General features: G+C 40.3%; 1 protein-coding gene across 5 annotated transcripts; it reads left to right on the top strand.

Annotated features, from left to right (window-relative positions):
- Nucleotides 1-227: 227 nt before the first annotated feature.
- Nucleotides 228-13,539, top strand: OR13A1 (olfactory receptor family 13 subfamily A member 1). 5 transcript variants are annotated; one of them, NM_001004297.3, is made up of 4 exons: nucleotides 228-312; nucleotides 8,028-8,097; nucleotides 8,269-8,410; nucleotides 11,402-13,186. In NM_001004297.3, the coding sequence occupies exon 4, from the start codon at nucleotides 11,414-11,416 to the stop codon at nucleotides 12,398-12,400; it is 987 nt and encodes a 328-aa protein (NP_001004297.2). In that variant the 5' UTR covers nucleotides 228-312; nucleotides 8,028-8,097; nucleotides 8,269-8,410; nucleotides 11,402-11,413; the 3' UTR covers nucleotides 12,401-13,186. The 5 variants fall into 5 exon arrangements, with proteins under 5 accessions (NP_001004297.2, XP_047281687.1, XP_047281686.1 ...); XM_047425731.1 differs by lacking the exon at nucleotides 228-312 and adding an exon at nucleotides 4,174-7,545 and having other exon boundaries at nucleotides 8,269-8,406; nucleotides 11,336-13,539; XM_047425730.1 differs by lacking the exon at nucleotides 228-312 and adding an exon at nucleotides 4,174-7,545 and having other exon boundaries at nucleotides 11,336-13,539.
- Nucleotides 13,540-26,927: the final 13,388 nt, after the last annotated feature.

The raw sequence follows: 26,927 nt of genomic DNA, 5'->3' as shown, positions 1-26,927 counted from the left end.
GGATCCTGCAACTTTCCAGAATTTGTTTAATAGTTCCAACAGTTTTCTGGATTTTATGCATATATGCATCTAACAGTTTTCTAGATTTTATGCAGGAGTCTAGGATTTTATGCATATAGGATCAAGTCATCTGTGAGCAGAGATAATTTTACTTTTTTCTTTTATTCTTTGGATGTCTTTTCTTGCTTAATTTTTTTTTCCTAATTGGTCTGCTTGGAAATTCAAATACTATATTGAATAGAAGCGAAGAGACAGAGTATACTTGTCTTGTTCCTAATCCAGAAGAAAAGTTTGAATCTTTTACCATTGAGTGTAAGTTTACCTGTGGATTTTTCATATATGGCCTTTATTATGTTATTTTCCTTCTATTCCTAGTTTGCTGAGTGTTTTCGTGATAAAAGGTGTTAAATTTTGTTAAACATTTTTTCTACATCAATATAAATGATCATGCTGTTTTGTCCTTTATTCTATTACTATAGTGTATTACATTGATTTTTGCATGTTGTATTATTCTTTTTTTTTGAGATGAAATCTCATTCTGTCATTCTGGCTGGAGTGCAGTGGCATGACCTCAGCTCACTGCAACATTTGCCTCCTGGGTTCAAGGGATTCTCCTGTCTCAGCCTCCCAAAGTGCTGGGATTACAGGCATGAGCCAGCACACCCTGCCACATGTTCTATCATTCTTGCATTCCAGGAATAAAGCCAACCTGATCATCACAAATATTGGTCTGTAGTTTTCTTTTCATGTAATGTCTTTGTTTGACTTTGAAATCAGGGTAATACTGGCCTCATATAATGAGCTTTGAAGTGTTTTTTATATTCATTTTTGTAAATGACTTTGAGAAACATTGGTTCTAATTCTTCCTTAAATGTTTGGTAGTCATCCGGTTCTGGGCTGTTGTTTGTTTGGAGGTTTTTGAACCAGTTTAATCTCCTTCGTAGTTATAAGTCTGTTCGTTTTTTCTACTTCTTCATGATTCACTCTTATTAGGTTGTATATTTCTAGAAATTTATGCACTTCTAAATTATCCAATTTGTTGACATATAATTAACTGTTGATGGTATTTTCTTATAATCCTTTTGATTTCTATGGCATGGGTTCTAATGTTCTCTTTTTTATTTCTGATTTATTAGTTGAATCTTTTTTCCTTAGTTAATCTAGCTAAGCATTTGTTAATTTTGTTGGTGTTTTCAAAAACCACCTCTTAGTTTTGTTGATTTTTTTCTATTGTTTTTATATTCTATATTTCATTTATCTCTGATTTAATCTAATCTTTAGGATTTTCCTCCTTCTGCTAGCTTTGGGTGTAGTTTTTTTTCTCTCCTAGTTTCCTGAGGTATAAAGTTAGGTTGTTGATTTGCAAACTTTCTTCTACTTCTTTTTTTTTTTTTCTTAAGTTGTGGAGATGGGGTCTTGCTTTGTTGCCCAGGCTGGTCTCAAATTCCTGGCCTCCAGAAGTTCTCCTCCCTCAGCCTGTCAAAGTGCTGGGATTGCAGGCATGACCCACCATGCCTAGCCACTTTCTTCCTTTTATAATGCACATATTTATAGCTATAAAATTCTCTGTTAGCACTGCTTCTGCTGCATCTTACACATTTTGGTACATTGTATTTTTATTTTCCTTTATCTCAAGATATTTTCTAACTTCCCTTGTGATTTCTTTTTTGACCCATTGCTTGTTGAAAACTGTGTTGTTTAATTTTCACATATTTGTGAATTTTTTGTTTTCCTTCTGCTACTGATGTCTAGTTTTATGTCATTTTCATCAAAATAGATATTTTGTATAATTTCAATCTTTTAAAATTTGTTACAAGTTTTTTTGTGGTATAACATGTGATTTATCTTTGGGAATATTCCATGTAAACTTGAGAAAAATACTATTCTGATTTTATTGGGTGGAATGTTCTGCACATGTTTGTTAGCACTATTTATAGTGTTGTTCAAGTACTGTATTTCCTTATCGATTTTCTGTCTTGTTGTTCTAGCCATTATTGTAAGTGAGGAATTGAAGTCGCCTACCATTATTATGCTGTTTATGTTTCCTCTCTGATCTGTCAATGTTTGCTTCAGATATTTAGGAGCTCTGGTATTAGAGGTATATATATTTGTAATTGTTATATCTTTCTGCTGAATTGACTTTTTGTTATATAATATCCATTTTTTTGTCTTGTGACTATTTTTGACTTTAAGTCTATTTTGTTGGATAGTAGTATAGTCACTTCTGCTTGCTTTTATTTACCATTTGCATGGCATTTACTTTTCCTTTTTTTCATTTTAAGCATATTTGTTTCTTAGACCTAAATGACAGGATAAAGTTGGATCCTTTTTACAAATCCATTTTCCAGTCTATATCTTTTGATTCAGGAGTTTAATCCATTTACATTTAAAGTAATTACTGATAGGGAAGGACCTACACTTGCCATTTTGTTGTTTCCTGTATGTTTTGTAAATTTTGTTTTTTATTCCTTCTCTTACTGACCTCTTTTGGGTTTTGTCGATTTTTTTTTGTGGTGACATTTTGATTCCCTTCCTGTTTCCTTTTGTGTGTATTCTATAGATTTTTTTATGGTTACCATAAGAATTATAAAAAACATCTTAAAGTGTTAACAAGCTATTTTAAACTGTTAAGAGAATAACTTCGACTGTGTACAAAAACTATTTCTTCAAAGCTCCTACCCTCACCTTAGGTTACTTATGTCACAAGTTACATCTTCATATGTAATGTATTCATTAACACAGTTTTATAGTTATTTTTAAGCTTTTGTCTTGTAAATTCTATACAAGAATTAAAAGTGCATTTATGTACCAAAACTGCATAGTACAGTCTCTATATATGTCCATATATTTATCTTTACTGGAGAGCTTTATATTTTCATAAGACTTCATGTTACTATTTAGCATCCTTTTGTTTCAACTTGCAAGATACTACAGCAGGTCCAGTGGTAATGAACTCCCCAGTTTTTGTTCATCCTGGAAAGGCTGATTTTTCCTTTATGTTTGAAGGATGGTTTTGCTGGATATAATATTTTTGGTTGAAATTTTCTTTTCTTTCAGCTCTTTGAATATATTATCCCCCTGCCTTCTGGCCTGCAAGGTTTCTGTTGATAAATCCACTGATAATTTTATAAAGGCTTCCTTTTACATGACAAGTTACTTTCTTTTGCTGCTTTCAAGATTGTCTCTTTGTCTTTGACTTTTGAGAGTTTGATTATAGTGTGTCTCACTGTGAGTCTCTGGGTTTTCTTTAACATTTTTTTTTTGTTCATATCTTCTGATGATGAATTCCTTTAACTTTTATATTTGTGAAATGTTTTTTCTTCATTTTCAGAAGGTATTTTTAGTGAGTGTAAAATTCTACATTGACAGTTTTTTTCTTTCAGTACTGTTTAGTGTTTCTCTACTGTCTTCTTGCTTGTACTGATTGTATAGAAACTCTGCTGTAATTCTTATCTTTGTGTCTTTGTACTTAATGTGCCTTTTTACTCTGCCTGTTTTTAAGATTTTATTTTTATTATTGATTTTGATCATGTGGCTTGGTGTGAGTTTCTTCATATTTATTGTGCTTGGGGTTCATTGAGCTTATTAAGTCTGTAGGTTTATATTTTTCATTACATTTAGAAAAATTGTAGCCATTATTCATTCAAATTTTTTTCTGTTCTTCTCCCATTTCTCATGCCCTTATGGGGTCTAATTATATGTATATTAGGCTATTTGAGGTTGTCTTACAGCTCACTTACAGTTCTTATGTTTATTTTTCCACTTCTATTTCATTTGGGCAGGTTTATTATACTTTTCCCTAATTTGCTAATTTTTTTGCAATGTCTAATCCACTGTTAATCTCATCCAATGTATTATTAATTTCAGACATTGTAGTTTTCATCTCTAGAAATTGTTCATCTTTTTATATCTTCTTTGTCTCTATTTGATATGCTAAGTCTTTTCTCTAGCTTCTTGAGCATATGAAATATAGTTATGACAACTATTTTATTTTATTACAACTTTTACCTTAGGTTCAGAGGTACATGTGCAGGTTTGTTATGTAGGTAAACTCGTGTCACAGGAGTTTGTTTATTATTTCATCACTCAGGTACTAAGCCTAGTACCCAATAGTTGTTTTTCTGTTCCTCTCCCTTCTCCTACCCTCCAACTTCAAGTAGGCCCCAGTGTTTATTGTTCCTCTCTTTGTATCACTACTATTTTAATGTCTCTACTAGTTCTCTTATTTTTGTCATTTCTGAGTTGATTTTATTTTTCTCACTATGGCCATATTCTCCTACTTCTTTGAATATCTGGTATGCAAATTATACCTAGTATGGATATTATATCAAGACCCTGTCGCAATATGGATACCTAAAAGAAAATAACAATGTTTACCAGTTTGCTCTAAGCCTTTCTTAGCTCTTTTGCTTGTTTCTCAAGAACAAGCACAGAGGGTGGAGCTCAACCAAGACTGAAGTTAAAGATGTAGAAAGATTGAGATGGGAAGTAATTAAGTTGAGGAGCTCTGATACAATGGTATTTCTCTTTTTAATCATGTAAGATGCAAGCCCAAGATAATATGTTGGGAAAGTTGAAGGCGAATGTCTTGAGAAATATGAAATGCACCCAAGGCTATGGCTGGGTGATAGAAATAACTAAAAAGTTTTAAAAGGATTGTTTTATAGCTGGTCCTTGCTGAGGTTAGGGGATAGGCCTGGAAAAATTGAGCAGTGGTATTGCCCAGGCAGGACTCCTCATGACATTCTCCAGATCCCTAAGTTTTTCCAAGTTTCCAAGCATTTCCTTGGCCAGCAAGTCATCTCGCAGCACAGATCCTACTCTCTTTCAGTCAGTCATTCCACAACTCTACAAAGCATTTTTCTCCATCAAATGGGAACTTTTGGGGTTCTGCATAATTTTTCAGGGTTCCACCACTTTTGACTCTTTCTGGATACCTTGTAAGGATATTATAACTCTTTAATTCATGTCCTTGATTTTCTCTTTTAACTTTTAATACTGTTCATTGCCTGTTTACCTCTTTCACCCTCTTCTTTTCACTTCCGCCCTCTTTCTTGTGTAAGTATATAATCATCCTTTTTTTCTTCCTCGAATCTCAGTTCTCGGGAGTAACATATACAATTCATTCTTACTTCCAGTCTTTTATTCCTAAGTTCCTTATCTCTAGTTCTCTTGCATATTTGTGGCAATTATTAGTTTTTTTCCAAAAATCCATTCTCCCTTTTTCCTGTACATGTATCTTTCCAGCTTGACCACATTTCCCAGCTTCCCTGGCAGCTAGGTGAAGCAATGTAACTAAACTTTTGCCTGTAAAATATGAGCAGAAGTTATGTGCACAATATCTGCCTCACTTGCTTAAAATAAATTGTATTATTTGAGCTTTCTATATTGTCCCTTTTTACAACTAAAATGTAGAGGTTATGGCAACTTTTATGGTAAAGAGAATCATCACGTAGGAGATCAAGAATCATTGATTTGAGAGGAACCTAAATCCTTTAATGACTTAGTGGAGCAAGACTGCCCCATCAGTCTGGAAGCTACCCCACAACTTATGTATATCTTCAGATTGTTGAGCAAAAGAGAAAAAATGAAGCCACTATATATTTAGGTCTCTTCATGTTAACAGTTTAGCTTTTAACCTAACACACATTTATTCCTGAATGGTAGCATATTATTAACATCACAGGAAGGGAATTCCTTGTTCATGGATCTTTTATTTTGTTGAAATAAAGGTAATCTGCTTGGGCTTAATACTGCCAAGGCAGAATTTTTTGGAATAATTATTTCTATAGATGACCCATTCATAATGACAACTAACATGGTTTCTAAAATGGATTCATGTACGTCATCTTATTTAGTCCCCGCAAAAATTCTGAAGGTAGGTATAATTATTCCCATTCTATATATTGAAAAATTGGGATTCAGAGAGACTACGGACTTATACAAGTTTCTGCAGCTATTTAAGAAACAGAGTAAAGTCTCAAAGCCATTAATGAACTGTTTAGTTTAGTGCTGCTTAGTAAAATTAGAACTGTTTGAAGTGCGTTTTAATAGTAAACCCATCGATATTTAGTCAGCTCTCTGCTTGCTAACTAATATGGAAGAAAAAACATACATCTACGTACATCCTGAATTGGGAGAAGGGAAATAAAATATTGCCAATCCCCTTTCCTGTATTAGGTACTGTGATAAGGCGATAAGGCTTTTCATTATTATAAATGAGTCCTGGAGAGGTTAAGCGCAGTCACCCAAAGTCACATGACCAGTAACTTTCAGAGATTTTACCCCAGGTCTGGAAAGACTCTGAAGCCCATGTTATTGCCTCCAGAGCCTGGTGGAGAACCCCTGAATGGGACAGAGACTCAGCAGACAGAGTGGTCCTTTCCTTCCAGGGAGTCAGGGAAGGTTTGGTAGGGGAGATAGAGTTAGATCTGGGTGGGATTTGGATGAAATGAGATCAAGCAGGGATAAATAAGATCCAAGCTGTTTATGAGGGACAGGGAGAGGCCAGCTCTGTTAGAAAGAGTGGTTTATACAGAGAAGCATGGAAACATTTGCTCCATGCCTCGCCTTCCATGGATAGCAGTCCAGAAATGCTACTTGCCTGCCTGACAGTCTTTCTCCAGTCCCCAGGTGTGGACACGTTCTGAGCACCTGAGCCTGGGTCTGCCCTGACCCAGATTCTGTGAGCTGGGACAGAGAATGTGTCCTGCTGTCCCTCCTCCCCCACTTGGGCCCACACCCTTTTCTACACATTTGGATTAGAAATCTGAATTGGCCTTTCTGTGAACCCCAATGACAGGCAAGTCCCCAGTAAAGAAGCACTTAATTTAATTGCTCCTTCAGGGTCCACTTAGAGTAATAGTTGTGAACAGCTCTCCCTAGTGTCTCCCACAGGCAGTGACAAATGTTGCTAAAGATAAGTCACAAATTCTTGGCAAGGCCATCTTAAATATGGGAAGGAAACCTTGTTCAGTCCTGAACAGTCCTGTTCAGACTGATCTTATCACAGGTTGCACACTGCCTCAATGTCACCATGTTTCTACCCTCAGTTGTGCTTGGCAGAGAGAGGACAGCTATACATAAAGTCTGTTCACTCTACAAAGGTGAAATCATTTTTTTTAAGGTAATTATGATTGTTCTGAGGATGGTGATTGAGTGACATTTAAAAAATGGGAAAAGTTCTACTCATAACTCTGTCTGCTTAATTTGCTTATATAAAAGACTTAATGGTTTTTGTTGAGTTGATCCAGAGTCAGTAACATTTGAATATGTGTTATTACCATTTGATCAGTAACAAAACAACAGGGTAAGTGGGATGCCAAATGTGGCTGAGAGTTTAGGGTTTACATTCCACACCCCAGCCTTAAATACGTTTGTATAAATTATTGGTTGATTTTTCTTTTTCATGGCTTTTCTTTGACATTTGATGGGGCTGGATTTATGGAGGCAACCAACAAATTACACAGCAATGAATTCTGGACTGTAGTCCCACAGCCTTGAGCCTAGATACTAGCTGTGTCACTAATACTCTGTGTGACCAGGGTAAGTTATTTAGATACATTTATGACTTTCCAAATCAATAGGTTGGACAAAGTTATCTTCAAAATGTCTTTCAGATTTGACCCTGAACATATGCGATTCTGGCATGTTCTGATTTTTAGTTTTCTGTTCTTGAAGCATGTCTACAATAGAAATGCCTACCTTCATATACAATAAAAGGACATTAGATTAATATGGTGTCTGTGAAAATCATTGAACAGCTTTAGAGATAAAAATAATGAAATGAGTCAAGTTCTCCATTATTAATTAAATCTTTTAAATTTTCTGTTTATGAAACTATGAACAATAAATTGGAACAAAGATATAATCTCACTACAAGTAAATTGTATTTTATGTAAAATATAATTTGTCTTTAGAAAATACTCAATGAAATTACCTTTTTAATTTCAGAGATTTTGAGGACTATTATTGTTATTTCTTTAAAGTGATAAATGTAATCCAAGATGCCTTTTTTCCCCCTTCAGAAGCTTGAGTGCCCAAGGGTTTGATAAATGTGGAAAATAACCGCTGTTCGAATATCCTGTTGGCCTGCTGGTGAGATGTCATCGTGTTGTCTGAATGCAGTATGTGTTTAAACTTGCCATTTATTACCTGAAATTGTGTTATTTTGCCTCATACCCTTAGTAATACTCTTGTAATGCTGGCTGAGAATTGAAGCAAATGCCCTATGAAACTCAAGGGAGCAAGGTCTTTGTTATTTTTCAGAAGAAATGACTGGCTGAGGCTGTAAAGAAATCTTGTGGTCATTCTCATGGAAAGAGGATTGGAGCCCCGATTCTTTGATCTCATTATTGACCAGTTGATTGAGAAGACTGTCCTCCTGTCCCCACCCAATCACAATAAGTGGGTAATTACCTGAGGGCTAATTTGCTCCTTGAATGTGAATACATTTGTGGAAATTTCCTTGTGCTCAGCACCTGTTCAAAACATCCATTTGTATTGCAGAGCTATTGTTTTTCTAATCTCATTGTGGAGCTAAGAGAGAGATTGTGTTTAAGGTTTCCTTCGTAATAGGTTTTCTTGCTCCAGGAAGGATGCGTGACAGACTCTGCACACTGCTGCTTGGTAGGTGTTCAGTGATGGATGCGTTTTCCATCTCCCAGGTACAGCTGCAGCTGTGCTGACTCTGGTGCGTTTGTAATATGCACTGTGGAGTGCACCATGATTTCATGATGGCTGGAGAAATCTGGTGGCTAGAATTCTAGGGAGGAGGACATGAGTCGGAAGTGCAGAAACCTCACACTGGGACATTGATGGAGAAAATCCAATTCTGTCCCTGGAGTTAAAGAGGAGTCACTCACTGGGCCATCATAAGAGCAAATAAAGTTACAGTTATTTCTTCAGATCCACAACTCAAACTCAGCGAAAGTAATTATTCACTCTTTTTGTCCCAAACAATAATGAAATCAGCTAAAGCATATTGTATTTATTACTTCCACTCAAGTTATTGAGCTGTTCTGACACCTTGTTGCTGGGAAGATACACAGATGGAACACCATCATTTCCATTGATTCTGATCATACCCCACGCTAATATAGCCTTATTGCTCTGAGTCATAGGGATTTTATGCTTGCCTATTCAAAAAACAGTTTTTACCTTATTAAAAGGTGATATGACCTGAGCTGGAGATGATGTTTGGTCATTTTGTGTAAACCTTTTAATATTTTAGTGGTAAATACATTTCTTGAATCTTGACAAAAACATAATTAAAATGAACATATTTAAAATGGACATCTTCCAAATGTTCATTTTTAAAACAAACATCTTCCAAATGTTCATTTTTAAAATGAATATCTTCGTTAACTTTTTTTTTTTTTTTTGAGACGGAGTCTCGCTCTGTCACCCAGGCTGGAGTGCAGTGGCGCGATCTCGGCTCACTGCAAGCTCCGCCTCCCGGGTTCACGCCATTCTCCTGCCTCAGCCTCCAGAGTAGCTAGGACTACAGGCGCCCGCCACCACGCCCGGCTAATTTTTGTATTTTTAGTAGAGACGGGGTTTCACCGTGTTAGCCAGGAAGGTCTCGATCTCCTGACCTTCTGATCCACCCTCCACGGCCTCCCAAAGTGCTGGGATTACAGGCGTGAGTCACCACGCCCAGCCTCTTCCTTAACTTTTAATGAATAAAGAGTTGAAAGGGAAAAACCAAATGTGCACTATGCTGATTTTATCTTGAGCTGTACAGAATGTGCAGTAACTTAAGAATATAAGTCATTCTGCTGTTATTCATACTAGCCTATTCTTTAGCATTATTTAAACACACATATTTGAGTGTCTACACACTGCCTGCTAGGCAGGGGGCTGGGTGCCAAGAAGGGATGTCCAGAGATAAACGGGCATATGTGTTAATCTTTTAGGGCACAGTCCAGTAACCTGATCAAGGAGTGACGTGTATTGTGTACTAGGATAGAAGTCAGTATCAGAGGAAACACAAAGGAAAGAGTGGTACTTTCTCCCCAGGGAAGGGATGCTCAGAAAGAGGGGGCTGATTATGTCCCTGGTTCATGAGAAAAAGGGCATTCCTGGCTCAGGGAGTGGGAAGAACAAAACCAAGAAATCCTGGAATGGCTTGGTGCATCAGCCAGTCTGTGAGTGCAGGGCATGGCTGGAGTTCTGGCTTTAAGATGAGTGGGAAGAAAGGCTGGAGAGGAGGTGGATCCAGGAAAAGTTGCTGGGAGCATTTATTCTTTTGGCAATGGGAAGCCATGGAAGAACTGTTGTAAGGAGGATTCTGTGTGATACATCTGCCTTTTAGAGAGGTCATTTTATAGAAAAAGTAGAAAATACAGACCAGCAAAAATTTAAAAAGTGAAAACAATCACTGTTCAAGCTCTGGTCTAGCACTCACCAGTGTTTTTCCTACAGGTGCATATACAAACATGCTTTTACATTTTATTTTTATTTTAAATTTTTCACTATCCTCAATATCAGTGGAAACAAATCTGCTTTTTTAATTTTTTTTTTAAAAATGAGATCCTATTGTACACATTATTTTAAATTTTTTTTCATTCTTTCCTTTTTTTAAAATTAAAACAATTTTTTTTGAGACAGTCTCACTCTGTCGCCCAGGCTAGAGTGCAGCATCGTGGTCTCAGCTCACCGAAACCTTGCCTCCCAGGTTCAAGCGATTCTCCTGCCTCAGCCTTCCAAGTAGCTGGGATTACAGACATCCACCACCACCGTGTCAGGTTAATTTTTGTATTTTTAGTAGAGAATGGGGTTTCACCATTTTGGACAGGCTGGTCTTGAATTCCTGGCTTCAAGTGATCTGCCTGCCTCGGCCTCCCAAAGTGTCATTCTCCTTTTAAAAGCATCAGTAAAACACTTCCAAAGCATTACTTTGATAATTAGACAGCATTTATATCAATTTACCATAATATACTCACGTTTAAGGGTATAGATTGTTTTAAATTTCCACTATTATAAATAGTGCTGCTCTGACACCTTCAGGATGCTTTTTATTATTCCTTAGGATACATTTCTGGAAGAGGAAGTTCCGGCTCAAATGGAATACATATTTTAAAAGGCCTGCATCTTTGCAGCCATTCTAATGCTAGTTAATATCATGCTTTTCTAACTTTGCCAGATCATGGATGATGAAGACTAGATCATGGATTTAATTTGCATTTGTTTGAGGTTGAATGATGCTTCATGAGTTTAACTGGCCAACTGTATTTATTTTTTATAAACTGAGTGTTCACGCCTTTTTTCTACTGTAATATTGGGGTGTTTATCTTAATCAATATGCCCTAATGCATCTCTATCTTTCATGCAGTGATGTGAGGTGTGGAAGAAACACGGGAGCAGCCTTCCTCAGGACACCTCTTGTTTATCTCTCTAGCTCTGAAATCACATGAAGCTGTGGATGGAGAGTCACCTGATAGTCCCAGAAACCCGTCCCAGCCCAAGGATGATGAGTAACCAGACGTTGGTAACCGAGTTCATCCTGCAGGGCTTTTCGGAGCACCCAGAATACCGGGTGTTCTTATTCAGCTGTTTCCTCTTCCTCTACTCTGGGGCCCTCACAGGTAATGTCCTCATCACCTTGGCCATCACGTTCAACCCTGGGCTCCACGCTCCTATGTACTTTTTCTTACTCAACTTGGCTACTATGGACATTATCTGCACCTCTTCCATCATGCCCAAGGCGCTGGCCAGTCTGGTGTCGGAAGAGAGCTCCATCTCCTACGGGGGCTGCATGGCCCAGCTCTATTTCCTCACGTGGGCTGCATCCTCAGAGCTGCTGCTCCTCACGGTCATGGCCTATGACCGGTACGCAGCCATCTGCCACCCGCTGCATTACAGCAGCATGATGAGCAAGGTGTTCTGCAGCGGGCTGGCCACAGCCGTGTGGCTGCTCTGCGCCGTCAACACGGCCATCCACACGGGGCTGATGCTGCGCTTGGATTTCTGTGGCCCCAATGTCATTATCCATTTCTTCTGCGAGGTCCCTCCCCTGCTGCTTCTCTCCTGCAGCTCCACCTACGTCAACGGTGTCATGATTGTCCTGGCGGATGCTTTCTACGGCATAGTGAACTTCCTGATGACCATCGCGTCCTATGGCTTCATCGTCTCCAGCATCCTGAAGGTGAAGACTGCCTGGGGGAGGCAGAAAGCCTTCTCCACCTGCTCTTCCCACCTCACCGTGGTGTGCATGTATTACACCGCTGTCTTCTACGCCTACATAAGCCCGGTCTCTGGCTACAGCGCAGGGAAGAGCAAGTTGGCTGGCCTGCTGTACACTGTGCTGAGTCCTACCCTCAACCCCCTCATCTATACTTTGAGAAACAAGGAGGTCAAAGCAGCCCTCAGGAAGCTTTTCCCTTTCTTCAGAAATTAACTTGTGTCTTCTGAAGTTTTTGTCCTTGGAGACTGCAGTTTTAGTGGAGTCTGATGAGCAAGTTTCTGGACTGGGAGGTAAATAGACTTGTTTTTTCTAACCCAGCAGAACCTGTGCATGGATGAGCTGGGAGTGCTGGTTCCCTGAGACTTGGTGATGGGGGGATTGCGGTAGGTGTGACCCACCAGCCTCTGAGACACCAGATCTCTTGGTCTGACTCCAAGGTGGTGTCAGTGCTGAGTTGGCAGAGAAACACAGGGCCTAGGAGGAGAAAAGTGTTCCTTGTGTTTTCAACTCATAGCCACATCAAACATTTTCCTTTTGTATGTACAACACTCAGGGTGTAAATTCTAAAATCACACCTAGAATTCAGCTGTGTGGGTCTAAAAAGTTAGGCAGAATTGTGGACCCCACAGCCCCTGAAGGGTTGTCAGACTGAAGCTTTGTTTTAAGGTGACCACTGGCCTCTAGGAAACCTTCTACCCCCATTATCTTACCTCAACTGTTTCCTCTGGAGCCACTTGGACTTCAAAAATAGTTTGATTTTAATGCAAACTGTTGTTTCTGCTTTTGTCTTTTCTTCTTACTAACACTTCAGATTCTGAGTATCTGACCTACCTAATTGGCCTGGAGCGAGGACAGCTGCCATGAGTCAGCTCTAATAAGTTAAACGGCATTGTAGTAAGGCATTGCTATCCTTCCATTGTTTCAGATAAAACTGGGTGAACGAATCCTCTGTGTCTAATAAAGACAGGTCTTGTGCTTGTGCTCCATGCTATTACAAAACTGCACTGGAAAATCCATTATCTTTATCATGATCCATTAAAGATGACAGAACTAAGATGTGAATGTTTAGTTGTATCTTGGAATTGAATAGAAACATATCATTCGATATGTGTGTGAAGCTGAGAGTAGAGTTTGATATTTGATTTAGATGGGATGGTTCTTCATCCAGTATTCTCATTATCATTCATCAGAAGCTCATTGACTCAAGTATTTGATGAATTGTAGCTGACTGTAGCTTTGGCACGTAGATTCTTACAGACAGTTTAATCTCTTCTAAGTGAATTCTGAGTCCCAAATAACATGTTGAAACCCTCAGTGGTCTCACTTTCCAATAAACATGGCTTTGAAAACCAGCACCAATGACCCTGTATGATTACTCAGAGGTTTTCAACATGTAATGAAGAGAGTTTATAGTGTTACTCATCTTAATTTCTTATCATTTTTTACATTTTCTATATTTTACAATGGATTTGAAAAGTAAAAAAGACTTAGACATGCATTGAGAGTTTAAGAGAGCATTAGTAATTCAGCAAAATAGAAATATAAGACTTGATTGACATTCTTACAAAGCTGGTAATCTAATTAAACAGACTTGCACTTATGATGATGAATATAAAAAGAAAGACATAAAGAGTGTTGCATTTTGGAGGATCTGGCAAGATGGCCAAATAGGAAGAGCTCCGGTCTGCAGCTTCCAGCAGACCAACATAGAAGGTGGGTGATTTCTGCATTTCCAACTGAGGTACCCTCTTCATCTCATGGGGCTGGTTAGGCAGTGGGTGCAGCCCACAGAGGGCTAGCAGAAAGAAGCAGAGTGAGGCATAGCCTCACCCGGGAAGCGCAAGGAGCCAGGGGCCTCCCTCCTGCAGCCAAGGGAAGCTGAGGGACTGTGTTATCCAGCCCAGATACTACACTTTTTGCATGGGGTTTGCAATCCACAGACCAGGAGATTCCATCATGTGCCTATAGCGCCAGGGCTTTGGGTTTCAAGCACAAAACTGGGCAGCTCTTTGGGCAGACACTAAGCTAGCTGCAGGAGTTTTATTTTATTTTTATACTCCAGTGGCACCTGGAATGCCAGCAAGACAGAACCGTTCACTCCCCTGGAAAGGGAACTGAAGCCAGGGAGCCAAGTGGTCTCGCTCAGTGGGTCCCACTGTCATGAAGTCCAGCAAGCTAAGAACCACTGGCTTGCAATTCTTGCTGCTAGCGCAGCAGTCTGAAGTCAACCTGGGATGACCGAGCTTGGTATGGGGAGGGGTGTCTGCCATTACTGAAGCTTGAGCAGGTGATTTTCCCCTGACAGTGCTAAGGAGGCTGGGAAGTTGGGAGTGGGTGGAACTCCCCACAGCCCAGCAAAGAGGCTGTGGCCAGACTGCCTCTCTAGATTCCTCCTCACTGGGCAGGGCATCTCTGAAAGAAAGGCAGCAGCTCCAGTCACGGGCTTATAGATAAAACTCCCATTTCCCTGGGACAGAGCATCGGGGGAAGGAGCAGCTGTGGGTGCAGCTCCAGCCGACTTAAATGTTCCTGCCTGCTGGCTCTGAAGAGAGCAGATTCACCCAGATTCACAAGGAGGATTCACCCAGCACAGTGCTTGAGCTCTACTAAGGGACAGACTGACTACTCAAATGGGTACTTGACCCCCATGCCTCCTGACTGGGAAAGACCTTCCAACAGGGGTTGACAGACACCTCATACAGGAGAACTCTGGCTGGCATCAGGCTGGTGCCCCTCTGGGAGGAAGCTTCCAGAGGAAGGAACAGGGAGCAATCTTTGCTGTTCTGCAGCCTCCACTGGTGATACCCAGGCAAATGGTCTGGAGTGGACCCCCAGCAAACTTCAGCAGACCTGCAGAAGAGGGGCCTGACTGTTGGAAGAAAAACTAACAAACAGACAGCATTAACATTAATATCAACTAAAGCAACCCCCACGCAAAACCCCCATCCGAAGATCATCAGCCTCAAAGATCAAAGGCAGATAAACCCACAAAGATGAGGAAAAATCAGCGCAAATATGCTGAAAATTCCAAAAACCAGAATGCCTCTTCTCTTCCAAATGATCGCAACTCCTCTCCAGAAAGGGCACAAAACTGGTTGGAGAATAAATGTGATGAATTGTCAGAAGTAGGCTTCAAAAGGTGGGTAATAACAAACTCCTCTGAGCTAAAGGAGCATGTTCTAACCCAATGCAAGGAAGCTAAGAACCTTGATAAAAGGTTACAGGAACTGCTAACTAAAATAACCAGTGTAGAGAAGAACACAAATGACCTGATGGAGCTGAAAAACACAGCATGATAACTTAGTGAAGTATACACAAGTGTCAATAGCTGAATCAATCAAGCAGAAGAAAGGATATCAGAGATTGAAGATCAACTTACTGAGATAAGGTATGAAGACAAGATTGGAGAAAAGAGAATGAAAAGGAATGAACAAACCTTCCATGAAATATGAGACTATGTGAAAAGACCAAACCTAAGATTGATTGGGGTAACTGAAAGTGATGGGGAGAATGGAATCAAGTTGGAAAACACACTTCAGGATATTATCCGGGAGAACTTCCCCAACCTAGCAAGACAACCCAACATTCAAATTCAGAAAATACAGAGAACACCACTAAGATACTCCTTGAGAAGAGCAACCCCAAGACATATAATCATCACATTCTCCAAGGTTGAAATGAAGGAAAAGATGTTAAATGTCAGAGAGAAAAAAGTCAGGTTATTCACAAAGGGAAGTCCATCAGACTAACAGCAGATCTCTCTGTAGAAACCCTACAAGCCAGAAAAGAGTGGGGCCAATATTCGACATTCTCAAAGAAAAGAATTTTCAAGTCAGAATTTCATCACCAGCCAAACTAAGCTTCATAAAAGAAGGAGAAATAAAATCCTTTACAGACAAGCAAATGCTGAGAGATTTTTGTCACCATGAGGCGACACCATAAGGCAGGCCTTACAAAAGCTCCTGAAGGAAGCACTAAATATGGAAAGGAAAAACCGCTACCAGCCACTGCAAAAACACAGCAAAATATAAAGACCAATGACTCTATGAAGAAACTACATCAACTAATGTGCAAAATAACCAGCTAGCATCATAATGACAGGATCAAATTCAAACATAACATTAATATATATATAGGCTAAATGCCCTAATTAAAAGACACATGCTGGCAAATTGGATAAAGAGTCCAGACCCATCAGTGTTGTGTATTCAGGAGACCCATCTCATGTGCAAAGACACACATAGGCTCAAAATAAAGGGATAGAGGCTCAAAATAAAGGGATGGAGGAATATTTACCAAACAAATAGAAAGAAAAAAAGCATGGTTGCAATCCTAGTCTCTGGTAAAACAGACTTTAAGCCAACAAAGATCAAAAGAGACAAAGAAGGACATTACATAATGGTAAAGGGATCAATGCAACAAGAAGAGCTAACTATCCTAAATATATATGCACCCAATATAGAAGCACCCAGATTCATAAAACAAGTTCTTAGAGACTACAAAGAGACTTAGACTCCCACACAATAATAGTGGGAGACTTTAACACCTTACTAACAATATTAGGCAGATCAACAAGACAGAAAATTAACAAGGGTATTGAGGAACTCAGCTCTGGACCAAAAAGACCTAATAGGCATCTACAGAACTCTCCACTCCAAATCAACAGAATATACATTCTTCTCAGCAACACATAGCACTTATTCTAAAATCAACCAAATAATTGGAAGTAAAACACTCCTCAGCAAATGCAAAACAATGGAAATAATAACAAACAGCCTCTCAGACCACAGTGGAATCAAATTAGAACTGCGGATTAAGAAACTGACTCAAAACCACACAGCACATGGAAACTGAACAATCTGCTCTGGAATGCCTACTGGGTAAATAACGGCAGAAATTAAGGCAGAAATAAAGAACTTCTTTGAAACCAATGAGAACAAAGAGACAATGTACTAGAATCTCTGGAACACAGATAAAGCAGTGTTAAGAGGGAAATTTTAGCACTAAATGCCCATATCAGAGTGGGAAAGATCTAAAATCAACACCCTAACATCACAATTAAAAGAACTAGAGAAGTGAAAGCAAAAGAGAAAGAGACACACATAAAAACCCTTTAAAAAAATTGGTGAATCCCGGAGCTGGTTTTTTGAAAAGATTAACAAACTAGATAGACTGCTAGCCAGACTAATAAAGAAGAAAAGAGAGAAGAGTCAAATAGACATAATAAAAATGATAAAGGGGATATCACCACTGATCCCACAGAAATACGAACTATCATCAGAGAATATTATAAACATCTCTATGCAAATAAACTAGAAAATCTAGAAGAAATGGATAAATTCCTGGACACATACACCCTCCCAAGACTAAACCAGGAAGAAGTTGAATCCCTGAATAGACCAATAACAAGTTCTGAAATTGAGGCAGGAATTAATAACCTACCAACCAAAAAAGCCCAGGACAGGACAAATTCACAGGCAAATTCTACCAGAGGTACAAAATGGTACTGGTACCATTCCTTCTGAAACTATTCCAAATAATAGAAAAAGAGAGACTCCTCCCTAACTCATTTTATGAAGCCAGTATCATCCTGATACCAAAATCTGGCAGTGACACAACAAAAAAAGAAAATTTCAGGCCAATATCCCTGATGAACATTGATGCAAAAATTCTCAGTAAAATACTGGCAAACCGAATCCAGCAGCACATCAAAAAGCTTATCCACCAGGATCAAGTCAGCATCATCCCTGGGATGCAAGGCTGGTTTAACACACGCAAATCAATGAATATAATCCATCACATAAACAGAACCAATGACAACAACCACATGATTATCTCAATAGATGCAGAAAAGGCCTTTGATAAAATTTGACACCGCTTCATGCTAAAGCCTCTCAATAAACTAGGTATTGATGGAACATATCTCAAAATATTAAGAGCAATTTATCACAAACCCACAGCCAATATCATACTGAATGGGCAAAAACTGGAAGCATGCCCTTTGAAAACTGGCACAAGACAAGGATGTCCTCTCTCACCACTCCTATTCTACATAGTGTTGGAAGTTCTGGCCAGGGCAATCAGGCAACAGAAAGAAATAAAGGGTATTCAGTTAGGAAAAGAGGAAGTCAAATTGTCTCTGTTTGCAGATGACATGACTGTATATTTAGAAAACCCCATCATCTCAGCCCAAAATCTCCTTAAGCTGATAAGCAAAGTCTCAGATACAAAATCAATGTGCACAAATCACAAGCATTCCTATACACTAATAATAGACAAGCAGAGAGCCAAATCATGAGTGAACTCCCATTCAAAATTGCTACAAAGAGAATAAAATACCTAGGAATGCAACTTACAAGGGATGTGAAGGACCTCTTCAAGGAGAACTACAAATCACTGCTCAAGGAAATAAGAGAGGACACAAACAAATATCCCATGCACATGGCTAGGAAGAATCAATTTCATGAAAATGGCCATATTGCCCAAGGTTATTTATAGATTCAAGCTATTCCCATCAAGCTATGATTGACTTTCTTCACAGAATTGGATAAAACTACTTTAAATTTCATATGGAACCAAAAAAGAGCCCATATAGCCAAGAAAATCCTAAGCCAAAAGAACAAAGCTGGAGGCATAATGTTGCCTGACTTCAAACTATACTACAAGGCTACAGTAAACAAAACAGCATGGTATTGGTAACAAAACAGATATATAGACCAATGGAATAGAACAGAGGCCTCAGAAATAAAACCACATGTGGCCAGGTGTGGTGGCTCATGCCTGTAATCCCAGTGCTTTGGGAGACTGAGGCAGGCAGATCACAAAGTCAGGAGTTTGAGACCAGCCTTGCCAATATTGTGAAACCAATTCTCTAACAAAAATACAAAAAGTTAGCGAGGCATGGTGGTGGGCACCTGTAGTCCCAGCTACTCGGGAGGCTGAGGCAGGAGAATTGCTTGTGCCTATGAGGTAGAGGTTGCAGTGAGCCAAGATCACACCACTGCATTCCAGCCTGGGTGACAGAGCGAGACTCTGTCTCAAAAAAAAAAAAAAAAGAAAAGAAAAGAAAAAGAAAAAGAAATTACACAACACATCTACAACCATCGAATCTTTGACAAACCTGAGAAAAACAAGCAATGGGGAAAGGATTCCCTAGTTAATAAATAGTGCTGGGAAAGCTGGCTAGCCATATGCAGAAAACAGAAACTGGACCCCTTCCTTGTACCTTATACAAAAATTAACTAAATATAGATTAAAGACTTAAACATAAAACCTAAAACCATAAAAACCATAGAAGAAAACCTAGGCAATACCATTCAGGACATAGGCATGGGCAAAGACTTCACGACTAAAATACCAAAAGCAATGGCAACAAAAGCTAAAATTGACAAATGGGATCTAATTAAACTAAAGAACTTCTGCACAACAAAATAAACTATCATCAGAATGAACAGGCAACCTACAGAATGGGGGAAGATTTTTGCAATCTATCCATATGACAAAGGTCTAATATCCAGAATCTACAAGGAACTTAAACAAATTTACAAGAAAAAAAGAACCCATCAAAAAGTGGGTGAAGGATATGAACAGACATGTCTCAAAAGGAGACATCTATGTGGCCAACAAACATATGAAAAAAAGCTCATCATCACTGGTCATTAGAAAAATGCAAATCAAAACCATAATTAGATACCATCTCATGCCAGTTAGAATGGTGATCATTAAAAAATCAGGAAACAACAGATGCTGGCAAAGATGTGGAGAAATAGGAACACTTTCACACTGTTGGAGGGAGTGTAAAGTAGTTCACTCATTGTGGCATGCAGTGTGGTGATTCCTCTAGGATCTAGAACCAGAAATACCATTTGACCCAGCAATCCCATTACTGCATATATACCCAAAGGATTATAAATCATTCTACTATAAAGACACATGCACACGCACGTTTACTGCAGCACTATTTACAATAGCAAAGACTTGGAACCAATCCAAATGCCCTTCATTGATAGACTGGATAAAGCAAAAGTGGCACTTATACACCATGGAGTATTATGCAGCCATAAAAAGAATGAGTTCATTTCCTTTGAAGGGACATGAATGAAACTGGAAACGATCATTCTCAGCAAACTAACACAGGAACAGAAAACCAAACACTGCATGTTCTTTCTCATAAGGGGGAGTTGAACAATGAGAACACGTGGACACAGGGAGGGGAACATGACACACTAGGGGCTGTCGGAGGGTGGTGGGCAAGGGGAGGGAGAGCATTAGGACAAATACCTAATGCATGTGGGGCTTAAAACCTAGATGATGGGTTGATAGGTGCAGCAAACCACCGTGGCACATGTATACCTATGTAACACACCTGCACGTTCCACATATGTATCCCAGAACTTAAAAAAAAAAAATGAGTGTTGCATTTCATGTGTGGGGTGATGGTGTTGTAGATGCTTAGAGAAGAAGTGTGAGTGTGGAAAGAGCCCTGAACTGAGAGGGGGAAGATCTGGGTTCAAGTGCAGACTCAGACACTCAACCCATTGGAGCCTCCATTTCCTTCTAACTATAACGAGGGCAATAAATCAAACTAGAGATGGTGCCAAGATTGATCAACAGAAGTGAAGAAAATGATATCAAGTGTTATATAAGTTTAAGATCTCACTGTTGGTGTGTGATCACTGAGGAAGCCTGGATGTCACAGCCCCTCACCTCTGCCTGGCTTGGAGTGATGGTTGCCGTGGCTGGCTGGGAAGTGTAAGTGGGGCTGGGTGGTGTGGGACCACACAGGTAAGGGCTGTGAGCAGCTGTGGTCTTGGCTGTATAAAAATGACTCATTGAGGTGAAGCAATTCGGGTGGGTAAAAGAGAAACCATTTCAGTGGTCTCCAATACAAAAGTGAACCTTGTTTCTTAGGAATGTTCAGGCTGATGAATGACACCACTTCTACCCAAGAAAGGCAAATTGGGAGAATTACCTGACAGAGCTGGACCATCATCCTTTCCTCAGATCTGATTTATCTCCCTGATCCCAAAACCCACCTTCATTCAGGGTCAACACCTTTTTTTTTCCTGTCCTCCAAACTTAAACAGGTCCATTTCAGTCTTTGGATCTCTTGCTCTTCCTAGTTCAGTTGAGCCCCCTACCTTGGTCTTGGCTTATCTTGTCCTTTGAGCCCTACATAAGCAGCAGGTCCTTCACTCTGTAGCTGTCTTGGTGCAGGCAGAGCATCTCTCCTTGCTAGGATGCTATCTTGCTTGGTGGTTTGCCTTCTCAGGAACAAATGCATCCTTTTTCTCCAACCGACCTAACAACTAGGATTTTGTTCTTTTCTTGGATGCTTTTGCAGGAACTGGAGCCAGTTTGCCTCCTTTAGCTGAGACTGGGAAGCAGCTCTTGCTTCCCCATTATGCTATCACTTAATATTAGTCCTGTGATTAAACAAGACAATGTTATGACCCCATAGGCATCCTGCAGGCAGTACCTTCAATGAGTGGCTATGACTTCACAGTATCATGGCTTCAAGAGCCATGGAGAAGTGACAGAATTTCCATTTTACCCATTTCTCTGCTTTTTGTCTTTCATAATGTATATTAGTCAAGGAAAATGCGTTCTTTCTTTCAGTAATTTTCCAACCACAAGCCCTTATATTTTTAGTCTTCCTGACTGAACTTTTAAATTTAATCTAAGGACCCTCTTTCTCTTGGAAAATGATGCTGGTGGAGGAGGAGTTATTTTTATCAAAGGCAAGCAAGAATGGCATTTGGCACACCCCATTTGGGAGGGGACATAGCCCAGAGGCAGGGTTAGGATTTCATCCTTCACCACCAACTTAGGTGAGCCCAGTTCCCTCTTTGAATGAGAGCTCTACCCATAAGACAGGCACCACAGCTGCATCCTGGCATCTCAGCAGCCCAGATAGACAGAGCCCCTGGCACTCTCTATACAAACACGGCATAAGGAAGGGGACTGGGGTCTTGAAGACAACATCTCCTTATGCTTGCTCCATGTCACATTCGAGAGCCAACTTGTGATGGGGTCTTGCTTTTGTCCTGTTTTAGGGTGAGTGAGCCTCATGTCTTTGGCAGACCATACATCTGAGTCGGAACTTGTTGGTAGTTTTATGCTGAATTGATCTGCATTTGTATGCTCCTATATGCTGTCTTTTCCCTCTTAAACAGTTGTCCTCAGCATATAATAGAAAAATCAGGAGTATTAGGCCCATCAGAATGCTTCATTTTTCTGAATTAGAATCAACAGTTGTGATTAGATAGCACTGCAAATGTGTGATTTCTAAGATGGAATTGTCACCTATGTTAGCTATATCATAAGTGGAAAAATTCAGAGCCCAAATGATGATCCAACCTCCACTCAGCTTCCCTGGGATGCTACTTTGGCTGCCCACCAGGACCGTTATGTGGGTCTGCATGTCAGAGAACAAACCACATCCTCCTGCTTCCCTCTGTGCTCAGGTAGCTGCCTGAGCCGGTCCAGACCTGAGGGTCCTGAGTTCCTTGGGCAGCAACTGTGCTCACTCTTAACCTATTGTCTTTCAGTTCCAAACCCATCTCTGCAACTCTGAGCCTGGGATGCTGCAAACCTTATTTTTCCTTTGCAGCTGGATTTCTGTTAGTCTCTGCCCAGAGTGGGCCCTAGAGGGATCCTGGAAGGCTGGGAGAGAGCAGGGACCTGCTCTGTCCCATTTGCTTCCAGCTTCTGTCAGCATCATCCTGAGGATGATTCCTTAGCTTTGCAGCAGTGATTTGGTCCAAGGACAGCAGCTGCTCTCAGCTTTTACACTTGCAGGAGCAGCCTCATTTGGCCCCTCAGAGATGCTGGCACATAGTCACCAGTGTTGCCTACTCTGGGGTTTCAATCCCTGTCGAGGGTGGCTCTCCTCCGAGCTGCTGAGGAAGCAGCATGCACTGAGTAGCATGCATCCTCAGGCTGAAGCCCTGTGGGATCTCTTTATGCCACAGGAAGACCAAGGCCACCCAGGAAAGCCACTCTCCTCAGGGTCTCTGGTCCAGCTCAGTGCAGTCCCTTCACTGGCTTTCTCACTGACCATGGCCTCAAACTCTCTTTGCTCCTCCAGTCCCAGGATATAAAGCTGCTTTCTGTGGTTGCTGTTTTTGCAGCACGGCAGTTTCTCTTGTGCTCTGCAGTCCTCCCAAATGTCTCTGGCCAGTTCCCTATATTAGGTCCTCTCTGTTAAATTGGTAGTGTGGTTTCTGTTTTCTCACCCAGATGCCAACTGATGCAGGCCTCCCTTCTGGGGCCTGTAGGCTCCATGCTCCTGTGCTGCTCCCTGTGGTCTCTGGTGTGAGTTCTTCAGGCTCTGACAGATCCAGGTCCTGCTCCAGCTATTTCTGCTTTGAACACAACAATGGGCTGAATCTGTGCCCATAAAGGGCTGAGCTCATTCAGTCCCAGGAGTGAGGAGAGCTCATCCTGAGTTTGTTAACACTTCTCATGCCCTTGGATGGTATCTCCTATAAAAGTTAAAAGTTCTTTTAGACTTCCTCTTCCAGATTTCCTGGAACCTCTTCAAAGAAGTCAACATGCTTCTCATCATGGGGCTGGGCTAGAGAGGAATCTCTTTGAATGCTCTAGATTGCTTTCTCTCCTGACCTGATTCTTGGTTTCAGAATGGTGTTTGTAACCCTATTCTCTCATCCCAAGATGAATGTCCTTGCTTTCCTGAGGCACCTACTGTCAGAGGCATGTGAACCAGAGCAACTCCATCTTAAATAGGAGCTGGGAAAAATGAGGCTGAAACCTACTGGGCTGCATTCCCAGATGGTTAAGGCATTCTAAGTCACAGGTTGAGAAAGGAGGTCAGCATAAAATATAGGTCATAAAGACCTTGCTGATAAAACAGGTAGTAGTAAAGGAGCCAGCTGAAACCCATGGAAACCAAAATGGTGATGAGAATGGCCTCTGGTCTTCCTCACTGCTATACTCCCAGCAGCACCATGACAGTTTACAAATGTGATGGAAACATCAGGAAGTTACCCTATATGGTCTAAAAATGGGAGGCATGAATAATCTACCCATTGTTTAGCATATAAACAAGAAATAACCATAAAAATGGACAACCAGCAGCCCTCAGGGCTGCTCTGTCTATGGAGTAGCCTTTCTCTTATTCCTTTACTTTCCTAATAAACTTGCTTTCACTTTACTCTGTGGACTTGCCCTGAATTCTTTCTTGTGCAAGATCCAAGAACCCTTTCTTGGGGTCTGGATTGGAACCCCTTTCCTGTAACACTACCACTGGGGATGCAGGGGGTGCAGATTTTATCTCTCCTTTAGACATAAATGTGATTATTTTGGTGTCTGGAAGCCTAACCATTGCTTTACATTCTCCTTCATACTCCCATCCAGACATCCTCCCTATGACATTCACTCATTTCCAACCCTTCCTGTATATCATGGAGTTGCTATGGTGGGTGTGCAGAGCAGCGCCCTTGGCTGGACCTTGGGGTCCAGTCACCATGACAGTTGCCTTGGTCAGTCATGTGGTCAAAGGATGAGAACTATAGTTTTCATATTGCTCAAGGTTAACTTTACCTTTTAGAGAACTCAAGATTACAATACAGTATGCATAAACCAAGTGAGAGCAAGAGGCTACTAATTGGATCAATATATGTCATAAAGCCTAGATTTACTCCTGAAAATATTCTTTTCCTGCTGGTTGGGTTGTTTGGTGAAGATCAATCACATAATAATCTCAGTTCTAACTATGTCATTGTAGACTTTCATTATTTCCTTCCTCTTATAATAAATCCTTATTCTGCCCTCATCAAGCCCTGTAATACTTTCTGAGGATACAGCAGTGAGCAAGATTGGTAAACATTGCCTGAGCTCTTAGTTTTGAAGACAATTTAGTAAACAACAACAATAAAATCCCCATAACAAGGGAAATGCCCCTGCTTGTGGGGGTTAAAGTAGGCCTCCTGTGACAAGTGTCATTTAGGCTGTGCTCCTAAGGATAAGTGGAAGACAGACAGGATAACTTAGTGTTGAAGTGGGGAGGGAGAGAGTATTATAGGCTCCTGGCAAGAGTGTCTGGCAAGAGTGAGTGTGGCTCATACACCCAGTTGAAAGAAATCAAGAGCGGTCAATCTGGACTAAAATGGTGGAAAAACGACCATCACCAACAGTTTTATCCAATGGGTATTGGGAGGGATATATTCTACCTATTTTCTTCACTTACTCAATTGAAAAACCTCATATCCCTAAAAACAATTAAAAATGCTTATACCTACAATTTCTCAGCAACAAAAGGGGCCTCATTAATTAATCATATTAATTTCTCTTGATGTCAATAGAGCCCAGTCTCTTACTGATGATCTCTTGGGGCTTTTACATGGTGGAGACTCTTGGACCTCTCAAATGTAGATGAACAAATAATACTCTCAGAACTGATGACATCTCTCTCCCTTCGTGTGTGTGTGTGTGTGTGTGTGTGTGTGTAAATCAGTCTACTATGCAAATTAAGTCTGTAATTTCTTTTTCCCATGAGGATACATTATATCCTAACACAACCCAAGAAGTGAAATAAAATCAGGCCAATTTGTAATTGCATCTTTTTCTTACATTTGAACATGCGGCCTCTCATGAGAAAAGCATACCATTTGAGTTGATTTTTACCGATATGTAAATAGATTTTGGTTTATCTAAGTGACTTAAGTTCCCACTCAACTCAATTTCCCACTGATGCAATTCAAACATATGCACCACAAACTGGCCAGACATAGAGACACACAAAGCAGAAATCCATGTGAAGACAGAGGAAGAGATTGGAGCGATGCCTTCATAAGCCATGAAACAACAAGGATTGCCAGAAACCACCACTAGCCAGAAGAGGCAAGAGAGGACAGTTCCCTAGAGCCTTCAGAGAGAGCATGGCCCTGCTCACGCCTGGATTTTACACTTCTAATATCCAGAACTATGGCAGAATAAATTTCTATTGTTTTAAGTCACCAGTGTTATAATTTTTAATGACAGTTCTAGGAAACTAATGTAGGTGGCTTCTAGTGGAAGAGAAGTCTCAAATTATGACTTATCTGGTGTCACATCCACAAGCAATCAGCCACTCAGGGGTCTCTTTTACCTAAGCATTGCTACCTAGTAACACAAGGCTTTCCATAGTTATCAGATTTCCAGAGGAATCAAGCTAGAAAGTAAATAGAAGGTCAGTACCTCTTGCAGAAAGGCAGGGTTTTGTTAAACCTTTACCCACAAACAGAGGAAAAAATTGCTAAGTTAAATCCAAATGCTTGTATCCTCTTTTGCATTTAGTGGAGTTAAAGCCCCACAATTATCATGGTTTTCAGTAATTTTTTTTTGTGATAATGCTGTGTGCTTACCCCCTGTACTTGGAGGTGAGTAAAGCTTATCCTCAAGCTGTACTCAGCAGTTTGCAAAGACAAACATATCTTTTTCTCATTCACAAGTTGGTGGATTGGCTGGGCTCCACTAGGTTCCACTGGGATTGGATTGGTGAGGCTCTCATTGAAGGTTGGCTTCACGTATGTTCCATGTGTCTTTTCATGCTGGGATCTGTGGCTACCTGTGGCATGTTCTTTTCATGGCTGATGGATGTAGTGGGAGAGACAAACCAAACCAAGCAAACCTATTTAAACCTGTACTTGTATCATGGCTGTGTAATTGTTACAGGGAAGGAGCAAAGAATTGGGAGCAATAGTCTAATCTGCCACAATAACCCTTGTAAACCAAAAAG

The sequence above is a fragment of the Homo sapiens genome, chromosome 10 (genome assembly GCF_000001405.40).
Source record: "Homo sapiens chromosome 10, GRCh38.p14 Primary Assembly".
Taxonomy (NCBI): domain Eukaryota; kingdom Metazoa; phylum Chordata; class Mammalia; order Primates; family Hominidae; genus Homo; species Homo sapiens.
The sequence above is the reverse complement of the archived record's forward strand: the minus strand, read 5'-3'. Positions and strand labels throughout refer to the sequence as shown.